The sequence below is a fragment of the Homo sapiens genome, chromosome 5 (genome assembly GCF_000001405.40).
Source record: "Homo sapiens chromosome 5, GRCh38.p14 Primary Assembly".
NCBI lineage: Eukaryota > Metazoa > Chordata > Mammalia > Primates > Hominidae > Homo > Homo sapiens.
The window spans coordinates 179,293,613-179,307,851 of record NC_000005.10 but is presented as its reverse complement, the minus strand read 5'-3'; the positions used below and the strand labels follow the sequence as shown (position 1 = coordinate 179,307,851).

Below are 14,239 nucleotides of genomic sequence, written 5' to 3'. Positions count from 1 at the left end.
GTGGAGTGTGATGGAGAAGGGACACCCTTCACCAAGGTCCTTGTGAGGAGGCATCGGAGCTAGGACCTGGACTTCTGGAAGAAGGCCATTCCAGGTGGAGGCAGCAGCAGGTGCAAAGGCCCTGAGGCAGGTGCTGAGTTGAAGTGTGCCAAGGACACAGAGGAGATCTCCACGGCTGGCACTTGAGTGAAGGAGAAATCAGCGGGGACCGGGGCAGTCATGTGGTGGGAAGCCGCTGGAGGGCTTTGGGCAGGCAGTGACAGGTCTGAGTCGTGTTTCAGAGATTCTGTGGGGCAGCCGTGAGGAGCATAGAGAATGAGGTCACAGGCTTGGGACGCCCGGGCTCCCAGCCTGGCATACGTGATGGTGCTATTAGTGGATGGTGCAGCATGACCCGGGAAGCCCCTGCGTGGTGGTGCCCCCCGGACCGGGCTGTTGAATGCTCATGGGCAGAGCTGCTTCTGTGTCATGGAGCTGTCCTGGAGTGCTGAGCAGTGGCCACCCAGGGTTGGCCGGGTGCTCGAGCCCTGAGAGGGCCGGTGGACCTCCTGTGGGCCCCAGGTCTTGCCGTCCCTGAAGGCTGAGGCTTGCAGGGTGCGATGCTCTCACAGCACTGCTGGGGCAGATGGCGGAGCACAGCAGGGCAGGGGCGCGTGGGCCGGGGCAGCTCTGCAGTGCGGGCCCCCTGTGTCTGTCTCATGCTAGCAGGGCGAGGGTCTGGGCCGGGCTTAGGCTGGCTGGCCACTGACTTCCCCGAGAGGTTCTTCTTACTCGGCTGCCCCTCTACTACGTGCTGGCCTCACCTCCAAGGACTCAGGCCCAGGGTTGATCCTGCCAGGGCCACAACAGATGTGGGACTGGCCCTGGTGGCCAATTCCCCACCCAGCAGAAGACTGCCCTGCCCTCTCATCCCTCAGGCTGTGCTCCTGTCAGGCCTGGTCCTGGAATAAGAGCCATGTCCTCAGAGCCTGTGGGAGCACTTGGTGCTATGAGACTCGATCTCATGGAGTTGCTTCCTTCCTGGGTGTCCTTTCCCTGGTTGAGTTCATCTGCCTGGCTCTCTGCTGGCACCGGGCTTGGCACTGGAGATCAAAGCTTCATGAGGCTGGAGCAGGAGGGCCCCCGCTTCCCCTAGGCTTTAGGGGCCAGTCACCCTTCCTGGACATCCACCTTCCCCAGGAACACGGGTTTTGGGGAAGCTCTCTGGGGCCCTTTCCTGCCCTGGCCTGAGGGTCTGTGCTGGGTGCTGGGTGTGTACAGAGGTGCTGTCTAGGACTCAACCCAAGGTTGAGTAGGAGTCGTGAAAATGCTCCTTATTTTAGGGGAAAACAGTTTCTCAGGATGCGGTATTGTGTTAGCTTTAGTTTTTTTGTAGATATTCTTACCAGGTTGAGCACGTTTCTTTCTCTGTTAGTTGAGAGTTTTTAATTTTTAGTCATGAATGAATCATATCATATGGTTTTCTCTATCACTTGATATAAGCATATTTTTTTTCCTTCTTCAGTCTGTTAATATGCTGGGTTACACTGACTTTTGGATATTGTGCCAGACTCTGCAAATCCAGGACAAACATGACTTGTCTGTTGTGCACTCTGCTGTTTATACATGGCTGGACTAGACTTGCCAGTGTTTTGCTGAGGATTTTTGTGTCTATGTTCATTGAGGGATATTGGTTTATAGGTTCATGAGGGATATTGGTTTGTAGGGTTTTTTTTTTTATTGAACTGTCTTTGTCTGGTTTTAATATCAGGGTAATGTTGACCTCATAAAATGAATGGGAGAATTGGTGCCATTTTTTCCTGAGAGGTTAGTAGAATTTTCCAGTAAAACCGTCTAGACCTGGAAATTTCTTTTTTGCAGGATTTTAAACTATGAATTCTTTTTCTTTAATAGTTACAGAACTTTTTATGCTATCTACTTTGTCTTGGGTAAGTTTTGGTAGCTTATAGTTTTTGAGGAAATCATGCATTTCTTCAACACTGATGGATTTATATGCATAGAATTGTTTATACTATTCCATTATCTTTTTTATGGCTGTGATGTCATTAGTGATATCCTTTTTAAAAATATTCTGATACTGGTAATTCATATTTTTTTCTGTTTCTCTTCTTCAGTCTCACTAGAGATTTATCAGTTGACTGATCTTTACAAAGAACCAAATTTGGTTTCATTGATCTTCTCTATTATTTTCATATTTTCAGTTTCATTGATTTTTACTCTTATCATTTCCTCCCTTCTACTTGCTTTGGGCTTATTTTGCTTTTTCTATTTGAGCATGTTTTGGTATTCAATTTTAATTTACCTATTGTGTTTGGTTGTATATCTTTGTATAGTGTTTACTGGTTGCTCCAGGGATTATAATAAACCTATATAACTCTTCAGAGTCTTTTTCAAATCAATATTTTACCACTTCAAGTTGAATGTTGAGACCCTGCCATCATATAGGTCCCTCTGTCCTCCCCTGAATGTTGTTGTCTTTTATACACCTACATACATGGAAAACTACATCAGACAGCATTATCATTCCTCTTTAAAATACGCAAGAGCCTAATCTGTTATATTTTTTCAGGTATTTCTGTTGCTCTTCCTTTATTCCTGATGTTCAAAATTTCTTTCTAGCATCATTTTCCCCCTGTCTGAAGAACTTCCTTCAGCAACCATCTTAGGGTAGATCTGCTGGCCACACATTCTATAAGTTTTGCTTCATCTGAGAATGTCTTTATTTCTCCTTAATTCTTGAAGTGTATTTTTGCTGGAGATAGAATTCTGGGTTGACAGTTCTTTTTTTTTTTTTTTCAGCATTTTAACAATGTTTTGCACTTCCTTTGGACTTCACAGTTTTGATAAGAAATCTGCAGTTATCTGAACCATTTTTCCCCTATAAGTAATGCACTGTTTTTCTCTGACTGCTTTCAAGACTTTTTTTTGTCTGTAGTTTTCAGAGTGTGTTTATAACGTGTGGGATTGTGTTTCCTTGGATTTCTCTCATTTGAGGTTTGCCGATCTGTTGAATTGGTAGGTTTATGCATTTCACAGAATTTGAGAAGTTTTCAGCCATTATTTATCCAAATATTTGTTTAGTAATACATTCTTTCTCTTCTCCTTCTGGGACATGACTGTTAGTTAGATCTTTCGGTATTTTCCCACAGTCTCTAAGGCTCTTGGCATTATAAAATATTTTTACTCGCTGCAGTTTGAATTGGGTAACTTCTATTGCTCTATCCTCAAGTTCACTGACTCATTCCTCTGTCATATCCATTCTGCTCTTGAGCCTATCCAGTGAGTTCTTAAAGTTTCTGTTATTGTATTTTTCAGTTCTAAAATTTCCGTTTGGTCCTTTTTAAAAATATGTCTTCCGTTTCTTGCTGAGACTATCTTTCCATTAGTTGCCAGAGTTTTTGCCCTTACTTTATGGAGTATTTTTATAATAGCTGCTTTAAGATCATTGTCAGTTAATTCCAACATATGTGCTATCTCAGTCTTGTTATCTGTTGGTTGTATTTGCCTGGAGGAGTTGAGATTTTCCTGGTTCTTGGTATGCCAAGTAATTTTGGACTGTATCCTGGACACTTTGATATTACCCTATGAGACTTTGGATCTTGTTTAAATGCTATGGAGAAGGTCATTATTTTTGTTTGATCAGGTAATTAACCCTTGGGTTAATTGGGTTCCGGCTGCAAGTTCCAATGTGCCTGTGGATTGCGGTTCAATGTCAGGTCCATTTTCAAAGCCTGTGCAGTCCTATTCTGATCAATCCCATGTAAACACAACCCAGTGGCACGTCTGGGACCTGGGCATTGGTCCACCTCCTAAGTCAGTCCCCAGAACCTATGGCGTGTTGTTTAGGGTCAGACCCACTCGTGCACGGCTCAAGCACGAGCCCAGGAGTTTCTAACCAACTTTCTGATGCCAGTTCCCCAAGCTCTGCTGTCTCTGCCATCTTCCTAGCCCTGTCCAGTTTCCTGCGGCTCCTTGTTAAATCTCTCTGGCCAGAAAGCTGGGGCTTTATTGACCCTGCTGTCTTGCACACTTCCTGCAACTACACTCCTGGGAGGACCAAAAGAGGAAAGAGCAATGGGGTTTCACTCCACCTTTCTAGGACCACAGCACTTCCAGCTACACAGCCAGGCTCCCCTCTTAGAGTTTTAGGTGCCTGTGGGCTGCCATGAGCTGGCGTGTGAGAACACGAAGAAAAGAAAAAGGAAATAGGAAAGAAAAATGAGGTGTTGGCTTGGCTCTGAGCATTCGGAAATGCTTTTTCTATCCTTGAGCTACAACAACAGGGCTTGTCTCGAGCTCTGTCTGTCTGTACCCAGTGCCCGCTTCTGGAGTTTGACCTGCCTTGTATCTAGGCTGAGGAATACCAGAGAATGAAGAGTAAACTCTGCGGGTTTGCTGAACCTCACATTCTAGTCTTCTTCCCCAATCTGCATGCTGTTATTTATTTTGCAGGGTCCTCAGCTAGCTGCTCATGAATCCAGTGCATTTGGGTGGCTGCAGGCAGTGGGGGATGCAGGTGAGGCGTGCTCACACCATCCTACTGGAACCTGAACCTTCTCCTAGGGACCTCTCTATGTGTTGAGCGGTTTATAATCAGGGAGGGACTTCTACCAGCAGAAATACAGCCATAGGCAGATCCCTGCTGAACAGGAATTTCATAGAGAGAGGGAGGGAGATCCTGCCCCCAGCAATTCTCACAACATGCCCAGAGCAACTGACAGGGGAATCAGGTCTCTTCCACCCTCCAGGGGCTGCCCACTGCACAGAGGAGAAAATCCAATCTCCTCCCCACAGCAGAGGAAGCTCTGTGCAGTCTGCCCCCGCCCACCACTCTGACCTCCTGTACCCCACCCAGGCCCACCACTCTGCCCTCCTGTACCCCACCCAGGCCCACCACTCTGCCCTCCTGTCCCTCGCCCCCGCCCACCCTTTGCTCTCCACACTCCACTCACATTGGCCTTCTTCCCTTTCCTCAAACATGGCAGGTCTGTTCTGACCTCGGGTCCTCTGCATGTGCTGTTCTCTGTGCTGGAGCCCACTTCCCCAGATCTCTCCATCGCTGCCTCTTTCCAATCATTTAGGCCTCAGCTCCAGTGTCATCTCTTCCAGGAAGTCCCCCGCCCCCCTCAACAATACTCTGTGCTGTTGTCCTCACGGCTGCGTCACTCTCTGTCGACTTCCTCTTTGCTTGCTTACTGCCATTTGCCCCCCCGGGAGATAGCACCCAGGGTCTGCATTCAGCCACAGGTCGCAAATGTGAATGCACCTTTGTGGCCACATCTATCGGTGCTGCTGGCAAGGTGGAGGTTGGGAAGCCGGACCCACTGGGCCACAAGTCCTCAGGGCTCCTTCCTGGTCCAGAGGACCCCCAGGAGGAGGCAGCTCTGCCTCCGCAGAGAATCTTGCTGCAGTTTGGGTTGTCCGGGGCCTTATCACTCCCCCGCTTTTTTTTTTTTTTTTTTTTTTTTTTTTGAGACGGTCTTGCTCTGTCGCCCAGAGCAGCTGGGACTACAGGCGCCCCCCACCACGCCCGGCTAATGTTTTATATTTTTTTAGTAGAGACGGGGTTTCACTGTGTTAGCCAGGATGGTCTCCATCTCCTGACCTCATGATCCGCCCACCTCAGCCTCCCAAAATGCTGGGATTACAGGCATGAGCCACCGCACCCGGCCATCACCCCCGTCTATTTTCATACATGCAGTGGGGTGAGAGGCAGAAGTCCCGGCTTCTGCTCCTGTGTGGCTTCCTACTCACTCTACACTCCCCTTCCTGACGCTGGCCAGAGGCTGGCGGAAGGGCTGTGCTGGGCCAGGACTGGCTTGCAGTTCCTCTGCAGGGAGTCCCGGAGCCTGGGGCCTGAGGGCTGCCTTGGAAGGGCACCCAGGGGCGAGGTGTGCAGGCTGACTGTTCCCAAGCAGCTGGGGGCCTGCCCTCGCTCCTCTCCCGGGCACAGCACGCTGTGAGCGGGGCATCCCGCACGCCCTGCTGCCACCGGCTCTCCGGCTGCACTCCTTCTTCACACGCTGGATGAGAGGACACTGCTGGGGCAGCAGGGCACATGGTGCAGGGGTCCTGCCCTCATTTGTGTCTTTTCCCAGAGGATGGGTTGTCTCCAAGTTCTGCGTCAAAACTGAAGTTCAGCATACTTAAGCCCAGTGGTTCACAAAGGAGATGCTTGAAACCCACTTCTCTCCCCCAGTTACTCAGGTGCTGCCCAGTGGAGAGAGATCTGTGCACACAGCCTTGTCTCCCTGCGGCATCTGGGCGCCACAGGGCAGCCCTCAAGAGATGCCCCTGTCCCAGTGCGGGGCTGGGGAGGAGCCCAGCCCTGTGCGAGCAGATCCGGATCCACCACTCATTAGCTGTCTAATCCTGAAAGAGTCATGTCATCTCTTGGAGCCTGTTTCCCAATCTGTAAAATGGGCATAATGATACTGAGCTCACTTCCTTTGCCTTCATTATCTTATTTTCAATCCCTTGACAACTCTGTAAAGTAGGTAATATTGTGCCATTTTAGACACGGAAAAGCAGAGGTCGAAAGAGGCCAAATAGCCACAAGTGACAGAGTGGGGATTTAAGTCTAAAGATCTCAAGTTTCGGCTGGGCTCAATTCTTTCCTTCAGCCCAGGATGTTCAGGGATGACAGCCAGGCTGGGCCCCTGAGCAATGCCCTCTGCTGTCTTTTTTTTTTTTTTTTTCCTGGGGGACAGGAGCGAGCAGAGCCTCCAGAACCTTTGCCCAGATCACAGTAGGCGGTTCTTGCAGCTGGGACCAGTTCCTCCCACTTGGACAGAGTGAGGAGTCCAGGCTTCACTGAGGCCAGGAGGGGGCTGGCCGCCGGCTCCAGACTGGGGAAGCCTGTGTTTGGGGCTTGTGCTCAGTGTGTGGGGACATCCTCCGGCCTCTGTCCTGCGGGACCTCTCCGACTTTTAATTGGCTTTCTTCTGGCTCCGCGTAGATGAAGAGTTTTTGCCAGAGCCAGAGCCATAACGGTTTATCTGTCTGCTGGCTTGCGTTTCTCAGACTGTTACTGAATTAAGTTGTATGTATGAAGACTCTTAAATAAAATAATATCATCGTGTTTATTCGGAGCTTGGCCTTAAAGTGCACTTTTGAGTGTGCACATCATTCTTCTTAAACCAGGGCCTCCTTTATAAGGGGATTTATCTTCACTTTGAGAAACGTCTGCTAAAGCCTGCTGTGCCAAAGTCCTCATGCTTACTGCTAGAGCCACAGAAGTGAAGGGGGGTCTGGCTTGTCCTCAGGCAGCTCAAAGTCAGGGGGACGGGGACAAAAGACCAGCCAAAAAGTGTTGCAAAGACATCAATGGGTGCTATAAGAGGATGCTATTCTTTTGTTTCTTTAGTTTTCCATTGTTTACAATTAAACATTATTCACAACAACTGACAAAACATGATTCACAATAATTTACATTATTCACAATTAAAAATTACTTTTGAACATACAAAACATATGGTCATTATCATTGAATAATGTAGAAAAGTATTAAGGAGAAAGCAAAAACCATGAAATCCTACCCTTTTGAGATAGTCTCTGTGAGAGACAGAATAATCCTTCTCCCAAAGTTGTCCATGTCCCAGTCCCGAGAACCTGGGAATAAATCAGGTGACATAGCAGGGGCAGTGAAGGTTACAGATGGAAGTCAGGTTGCTAATTAGTTGACTTTTAAGATAAGGAGATTATCCTGGATGGCACAGTGTAATGGCAAGGATTCTTCTTTTTTTTTTTTTTTTTTTGAGACGGAGTCTCACTCTGTCGCCCAGGCTGGAGTGCAGTGGCATAATCTCAGGCTCACTGCAAGCTCCACCTCCTGGGTCCAAGTGATTCTCCTGCCTCAGCCTCCAGAGTAGCTGGGACTACAGGCGCCTGCCACCACGCCTGGCTAATTTTTTGTATTTTTAGTAGAGACGGGGTTTCACTGTGTTAGCCAGGATGGTCTCCATCTCCTGACCTTGTGATCCGCCCGCCTCAGCCTCCCAAAGTGCTGGGATTACAGGTGTGAGCTGGCCATGACAAGGATTCATAAAAGTAGAAGATGGAGGCAGAAGTTCAGAGTCAGAGAGGGGTCAGTAGATGCTCCGGTGCTGGCTTTGAAGATGGAGGAGGGGGCCACAAGCCAAGGAATGTGGGTAGCCTCTAAAAGCTGGAAAAAAACAAGGAAACATTCTCCTTAGAGCTTCCAGAAGGAATGCAGCCCTCCCCACACCTTGATTTTAGCCCAGTGAGACCCATTGTGGACTTCAGATCTCTAGAACTGTCAGATAATAAATGTGTGTGTGTGTGTGTGTGTGTGTGTGTGTTTGAGTTGGAGTCTTGATCTGTTGCCCAGGCTGGAGTGCTGTGGTGTGATCTTGGCTCACTGCAAGCTCCGCCTCCTGGGTTCACACCATTCTCCTGCCTCAGCCTCCCAAGTAGCTGGGACTACAGGCGCCCGCCACCACGGCCGGCTGATTTTTTGTATATTTAGCAGAGACAGGATTTCACCGTGTTAGCCAGGATGGTCTCCATCTCCTGACCTCGTGATCCGCCCGCCTCAGCCTCCCAAAGTGCTGGGATTACAGGCGTGAGCCACCGCGCCTGGACAAATTTGTGTTTTTAAGCCACTACATTTGCAGTAATTTGTTACAGCTATACAAACTAACCGTTTTTCCATCTTGTTACATATATGTCACACTCAGAAGTGAGATCTTGTCACTCATGCTATTTGTATCAACATCTTTAGGTTTATGGTTGCTCTCTCTTCTGCCCTCTTGACTGGAGCACTGGCTTCATTTATTTTCACTCTGGTCTATAATTAAGAAGGTTGTGAACTTGCTTCTGGTGGTGGCTTTGGTCTCATCCACAGGTTCTGATGTGCTGAATTCTCACTGTCATCATTTTAAAAAGATTTATGATTTTGATTCCAGTAACTTAAGAGCTATTTAGAGGAATGTTGAAAAAACTTCCGAGTGGTTGGATTTTAGGTTATTAAGCTTTGCGTTGATTCCTAGTATAATCCAAATGTTTTCAGACCTTAGCATCTCTGGGTTTAAATTGGGTCTTGTCAGCATTTATATCTGCATCTTGCCATTCCAGTGACACCCCACCCCTAACCAGCGCAGATCTCAGTTTCCTACAAGGGCTTGTGAATGCCTCCCCCTCAACCCCTCTAGCATTTCTAGGCATCTCCCAGTTCCGTAGAGCCCGTCCACACCCCTCCTGCCACGTGTGTATTCTGAGCATCCCAGGCTCTGCAGGTGTCCCTCCGTTCAGGCTGCCATAACAAAATATCACAGACTGGGTGTTTAGAAACAACAGAAGTTTATTTCTCACAGTTTTGGAGTCTCACATGTGAGATCGGGGCGCCAGTGGGTTTGGTGTCTGGTGAGGGCTGCTTCCTCGCTCATAGCTGGGGCCTTCTTGCTGTGTTTGCACACAGTGGAGGGTGCACAAGCTCCCTGGGCCTCTCTGATAAGGGCACTAATCCCATTAACGGGGTCCCCACCCTCATGACCTCATCACCTTCCAAAGGCCCGCTTCACACCATCACCTTGGGACAGGAAGAGCTCATCTCCATGGAGGCTTGGCAGGGCCAGGCCTGCCACAGAGTTAGGAGTGAAGGGGACAGCCTGGGTTCCCCGAGCCTCGGGGAATTTCTGAAATTGCCTCTGTCTCCTGGTGTTTGCTCAGCTTCTATGAATGTCAGGTGGGCTTCTGAAGGGAGCACGGAATCTGCGTTGCAGGGTCACTGTGGCACGAGGGGACCCTGGCCTCTGGTGCTGTGGAAACCGGAGCAGCTGGGGGCGGCCAGAGAGAGGCTGAGCAGGAGGGTGTGGAGGTCCCCGGGGCCCTGGGGAGGAGGGACAGAGGCCATGGGCATTGGTGCGTGGGAGGGAGCAGCAGAGGCCAGCCTGCTGAGAAGGGCTGTGAGGGAAGGGAGGTCCTGTGGCTGGAGGGGAAGCAGAGTCTTCTTGTTCAGGATTGAAGAGACCCGGTTCTGTTGTTGGGCTGAGAGAGGACTTTAGAGAGGAGGAGGCCGAAGACGCAGCAGGGGAGGCGAGAAGGGACTTGTGGAGAGCCCTGAGGGAGCTGGTGGTGGGCAGTGGGTTGTCTCGGCTCAGAGCAAGAGCTCTCCGTCCTCTGGGATTATAGTGGAGGGCGTTGGGGGCACTCTGCCAGTGACTTCATCAGTAGGGGTGGGGAGTTGGCATTATGCCCCATGATGCAAGGGCCCAAGTCACCCTGGAGAGGGAAGCCGGGGTCTTGAGGGAGGGTCCTGGGAGACATGGGGCCTCAGCGTATTGGGGAAGGGAACAGTCAAGAGAAAGGGGCAGGCTGTGGGGAGGGCCTTCTGGCTGGACAGTACTAGCAGGGAGTGGGGCAGAAGGGGGTCCCCATACCAACTTCACCTCTTGGTTCTTGGTGCCGAGAAGCAGCAATCTCAGGTTTCTGCATTGCCAGGCAGGTGGGGTGGGAGGCTACGGCTGACAGGCTTGGGGGATTCAGGCCAGGCAGGCAGGGGAGGCCGGGATCAATTTTTGTAAATGCTCCCCCATGCTTGTAAAGAATACTCATTTGCTTTCGGTTGTAAGTCGTCAGATCCATCCAGAAATCAATCCGGCCCATTTCCCGAGTCAATGAGTCTGTGCCCCTCTGCTGTGGTCTAGGAGACCTGTCACCCACTGGGAGTGGCCGTTCGCATTTCCCTTTGACAGGGCTGTTGAGCCACTTGTGTTTCTAACCATGGCAGATGCTGCGGCCCTTGGTTTGTAAAGCTTGGTGACTGTGTGCTTTCACCAAGCCTTGTCAATACAACAGGAGTTTCCAGTCATTTAGTACTTGCTCTGAGTTCTATTTTGATGATACTACAGACACCCTGCTTTCTGGGTTTGCAGTTTTCTCTGTCTCTCTTTTAGCATGTTTCAGGCATGTGTTACAGACGGCATGCCTTGTTTGTTCCATCTCAGTCTGGTTGATCTCTAACTGCAATGTTAAACCCATTGATGGTTGTGTTAGTGATACCAGTGGCCCGTCCTTTTTTCGGCCTGCACCTTTGCATCTTTATGCTTGACTTGTCCCCTGTCCACCCTGGGAGCAGGCAGGCAGCTGGTCTTCCCAGGCACCACCCTCCTGACCCACAGCACGCAGCAGCCTCTCTCTGCCCGCCGCCTCTCCCTCCTGCCCTCTGCCCAGGCCGCCCCTGGGGACCTTACCCACTGAGCCCATCTCCACCTGCCTTGCGGTCCTTCCTTATCCGAGTCGGATGCCACTGGTCCTCTTTGCTGTACTTGCTCCCTGCCTGTACCACTGTCTCCCGCCTCCTGCTTTCCTTGCTGAATTGCTGGGTCCAGCCCCATCCCTCCTCCCTTACTTTCCTGCCTCCGAGCAGGGGCCCCAGCCTCGCTGAAGGATCTACTTCGACATTCCTGACTGCTGGCCTCTGCAGGCAGCATCCCCCCTTGGGACCTTCCCGCTCCCTGCTCACCCACCTCCTTGCTCACCCACCTCCCCCTCCTCCGAGCACAGACAGGCCCCGGCATTGCCCCTGCCCGTCCCTTGAGCTCCGGCTGCTCCCGGGTCCCATCATTGTCAGCATTCTCAGAAGCACAGCCCCTGCCGCCACCTCCTCCATGGCTCTCTGGCATCACCCAAAGCGTCTGCTGAGGTCCCACGGACCACAGAGGTGTGGATCCTGTGGTCATTCTCCTGTCCCCACGGCTCAGGCCTCCCCCATCCTCCTGCTTCACCATCACTGCATCGTCCGAGGCACCGCCAGCTCCTCGGTTTGCTCTTCCCCTGGGCTCTGCACCTTGGCACGTGCTGTGTGGCTGAGCAGGACCCTCAGTCTCCTGGACCACAGCCAGAAAGGCATTTCCTCCTGCAGTGGGGCGTCCTGGGTTGGAGGAGCCTTCCCTCCTCATGGCAGCCTCCTTCCACAGCCCCACCTGTCTCCACGCCTCCCTTGCTCCCAGCACAGGCCCCACTAGTGGTTTCAGCGGAATATGGAAGGGCTTTTGAGGACGTGTGTGGAAGGTGGCCTTGGTGGCTGCTCCTGAATCCCTTCCAGAGCCTCCAGCTCCTCCCACCCCGACTCTCACTTGCGGGACTGCCCCAGCCGCCATGGACGGGGCTCCTCTGCCCTGCTCAGAATGTTCTGGACCAGCCTGGGACTTTGTGTCCTGAGTCTGTGGTGGTTGCAGGGAACTGGCTCACCCGTGTGCTTCAGGGTGGAAATTGGGCTGGAGTGTGGAAGTCCCATCCCAAACCCTAGAGATGGGACCAGCACCTGGACTATGAGAGTGAGGGCTGCCTGGTCGGGCTACAGGGCATGTCGGATCAGTCAGGGGCCTGGGACACATAAGGGATCAACAGAAAGGAGTTGACAAAGGCACAACTCACAGAGCTGCGGGCAGGACGAGGGAGCTTGCAGGGCGGGGAGGCTGGGGGCCACCACAGCGGGAGAAATAAAACCTTCTGTCTCTCTCCCCAGCCCTGGTTTCCTGTCGGTGCCCCCCTTCACCCAGGGAGAGCCAGGAGGAGCCAGTCCATCAGGTCTGCCTACTGGGCTGTAGGACAGGGCAGAAGGTGAAGGGGTGGGGAGCCCAACAGAGACCCGCCAGCCCAGAACATCAGCCTGGAAGGAAGGGACGCAGGGACCTGGTTCTTCTCTGTGTCTTTTCAAAGCCAGGTTTCCTTTCTAATCCAGAATCTATTTATTCAGCCAGGCCTGGTGCCAGATGCTCTCAGGCTCTGAGGATGACAGACAAACCCAGCAGCCTCCAGTAGGGTGCTCAAGGCCTGGTTTTGAAGTGGAAACAATGATCCATGCGGCCAGTGGGAACCCGCCAAGTTCCCCACAGGCCCGTTCGCCTAGAGGCAGTAGTTGAGAGCGACAGGAGGGCCTCCATGCCAGGAGTCTGCACAGTGACTCTTCCTTCCTTCTTTAGACTGCCTCAGAGGCTGTCAGCATTTGGGGTGGAAAAGAGTTGTCCTGTTGAGTGTATACATGACCTAAGTCTACTGGAGACTCAATGAGGGAATTGAAGGATTTTTCAGGGAAAATGTTGACATTTCCTGCTGACCCTAGAAAGCAAGCCCCTCCGCTTGGCCAGCAGGAAGTTTCTCTGGCATCAGGGGCAGGCCACCTTGGAAGCTGGGCACACGGGGCAGGGGCCACCCTGCGGATGTGGGTGCAGCCCTGCGGGGAAGCTGCAGTGGGGGCGGGGGCAGGGCTTGGGGTGGCCCTTCCACTCCCCAAGTCTGTGGGTGCCCAATCTCCAGACCACCATTCCGGACCTCCACAAGCTGCCTCCTTGGGCCACGTGGGTGGGTCAGACTTGCATGGGTGCTCAGCATCCCTGGGTCGGGTTGATCCTGGCACCCCCTAGGGTGGGTCTGCTGGGCAGCCCTCGGAGCCTGGACAGAGCTTCTAGCCATGCACCCATCTTCCCTGTTCATGGGATTGAGTCACCAAAGGAAGGGCATTCATTAAAAATAATTGGCTGGCTGGACGTGTTTCTGGGCTGTCAGCTCTGACTGTAGGCTGCGTGCCTTCATCAACATCTTTCTCCCGGTTCCCAGTCATATTTTTTCTTTTTGAAAGTGTCTTTTTCTGTTACCCAGGCTGGAGTGCAGTGGCAGCATCTTAGCTCACTGCAGCTTGGACCTTCAGGGTTTAGGTGATTCTCCCACCTCAGCCTCCCAAGTAGCTGGGACCACAGGCATGCACCACCACACCCAGCTAATTTTTAAATTATTTGTAGAGATGAGGCCTCACTATGCTGGTCTGGAACTCCTGGGCTCAAGCAGTCTTCCTGCCTCGGCCTCCCAAAAGTGCTGGGATTGCAGGCCCCAGTTCCCAGTCATTAAGTGGAATGTTTGAGATGCACAAATACCTTAAAACAAAAAAACAAAAAAACAAAAAAACCTTGGCCAGGTGCGGTGGCTCACACCTGTAATCTCAGCATTTTGGGAAGCCAGGGCAGGCGGATCACAGGGTCAGGAGTTCGAGACCACCTAGCCAATGTGATGAAACCCCATTCTACTAAAAAAATACAAAAAAAAAAAAAATTTAGCTGGGTGTGGTGGCGTGTGCCTGTAATCACAGCTACTCGGGAGGCTGAGACACGAGAATCACTTGAACCCAGGAGGTGGAGGTTGTGGTGAGCCCAGATCATGCCACTGCACTCCAGCCTAGGCGACAGAGCAAGACTCCATCTTGAGAAAAACAAACAAACAA

General features: G+C 51.4%; 1 protein-coding gene across 2 annotated transcripts in view, besides 1 other annotated feature; it reads left to right on the top strand.

Annotated features, from left to right (window-relative positions):
• Nucleotides 1-14,239, top strand: part of ADAMTS2 (ADAM metallopeptidase with thrombospondin type 1 motif 2) — a 234,609-nt gene that overhangs the window by 37,610 nt on the left and 182,760 nt on the right. The window lies entirely within an intron of this gene.
• Nucleotides 5,587-6,086: an enhancer, noted in NCBI's record as "H3K4me1 hESC enhancer chr5:178728767-178729266 (GRCh37/hg19 assembly coordinates)". NCBI's record gives its function as "activates a minimal SCP1, AML or CMV promoter by ChIP-STARR-seq in naive H9 embryonic stem cells {active_cell/tissue: H9 hESC(naive)}" and the evidence as "EXISTENCE:reporter gene assay evidence [ECO:0000049][PMID:30033119]".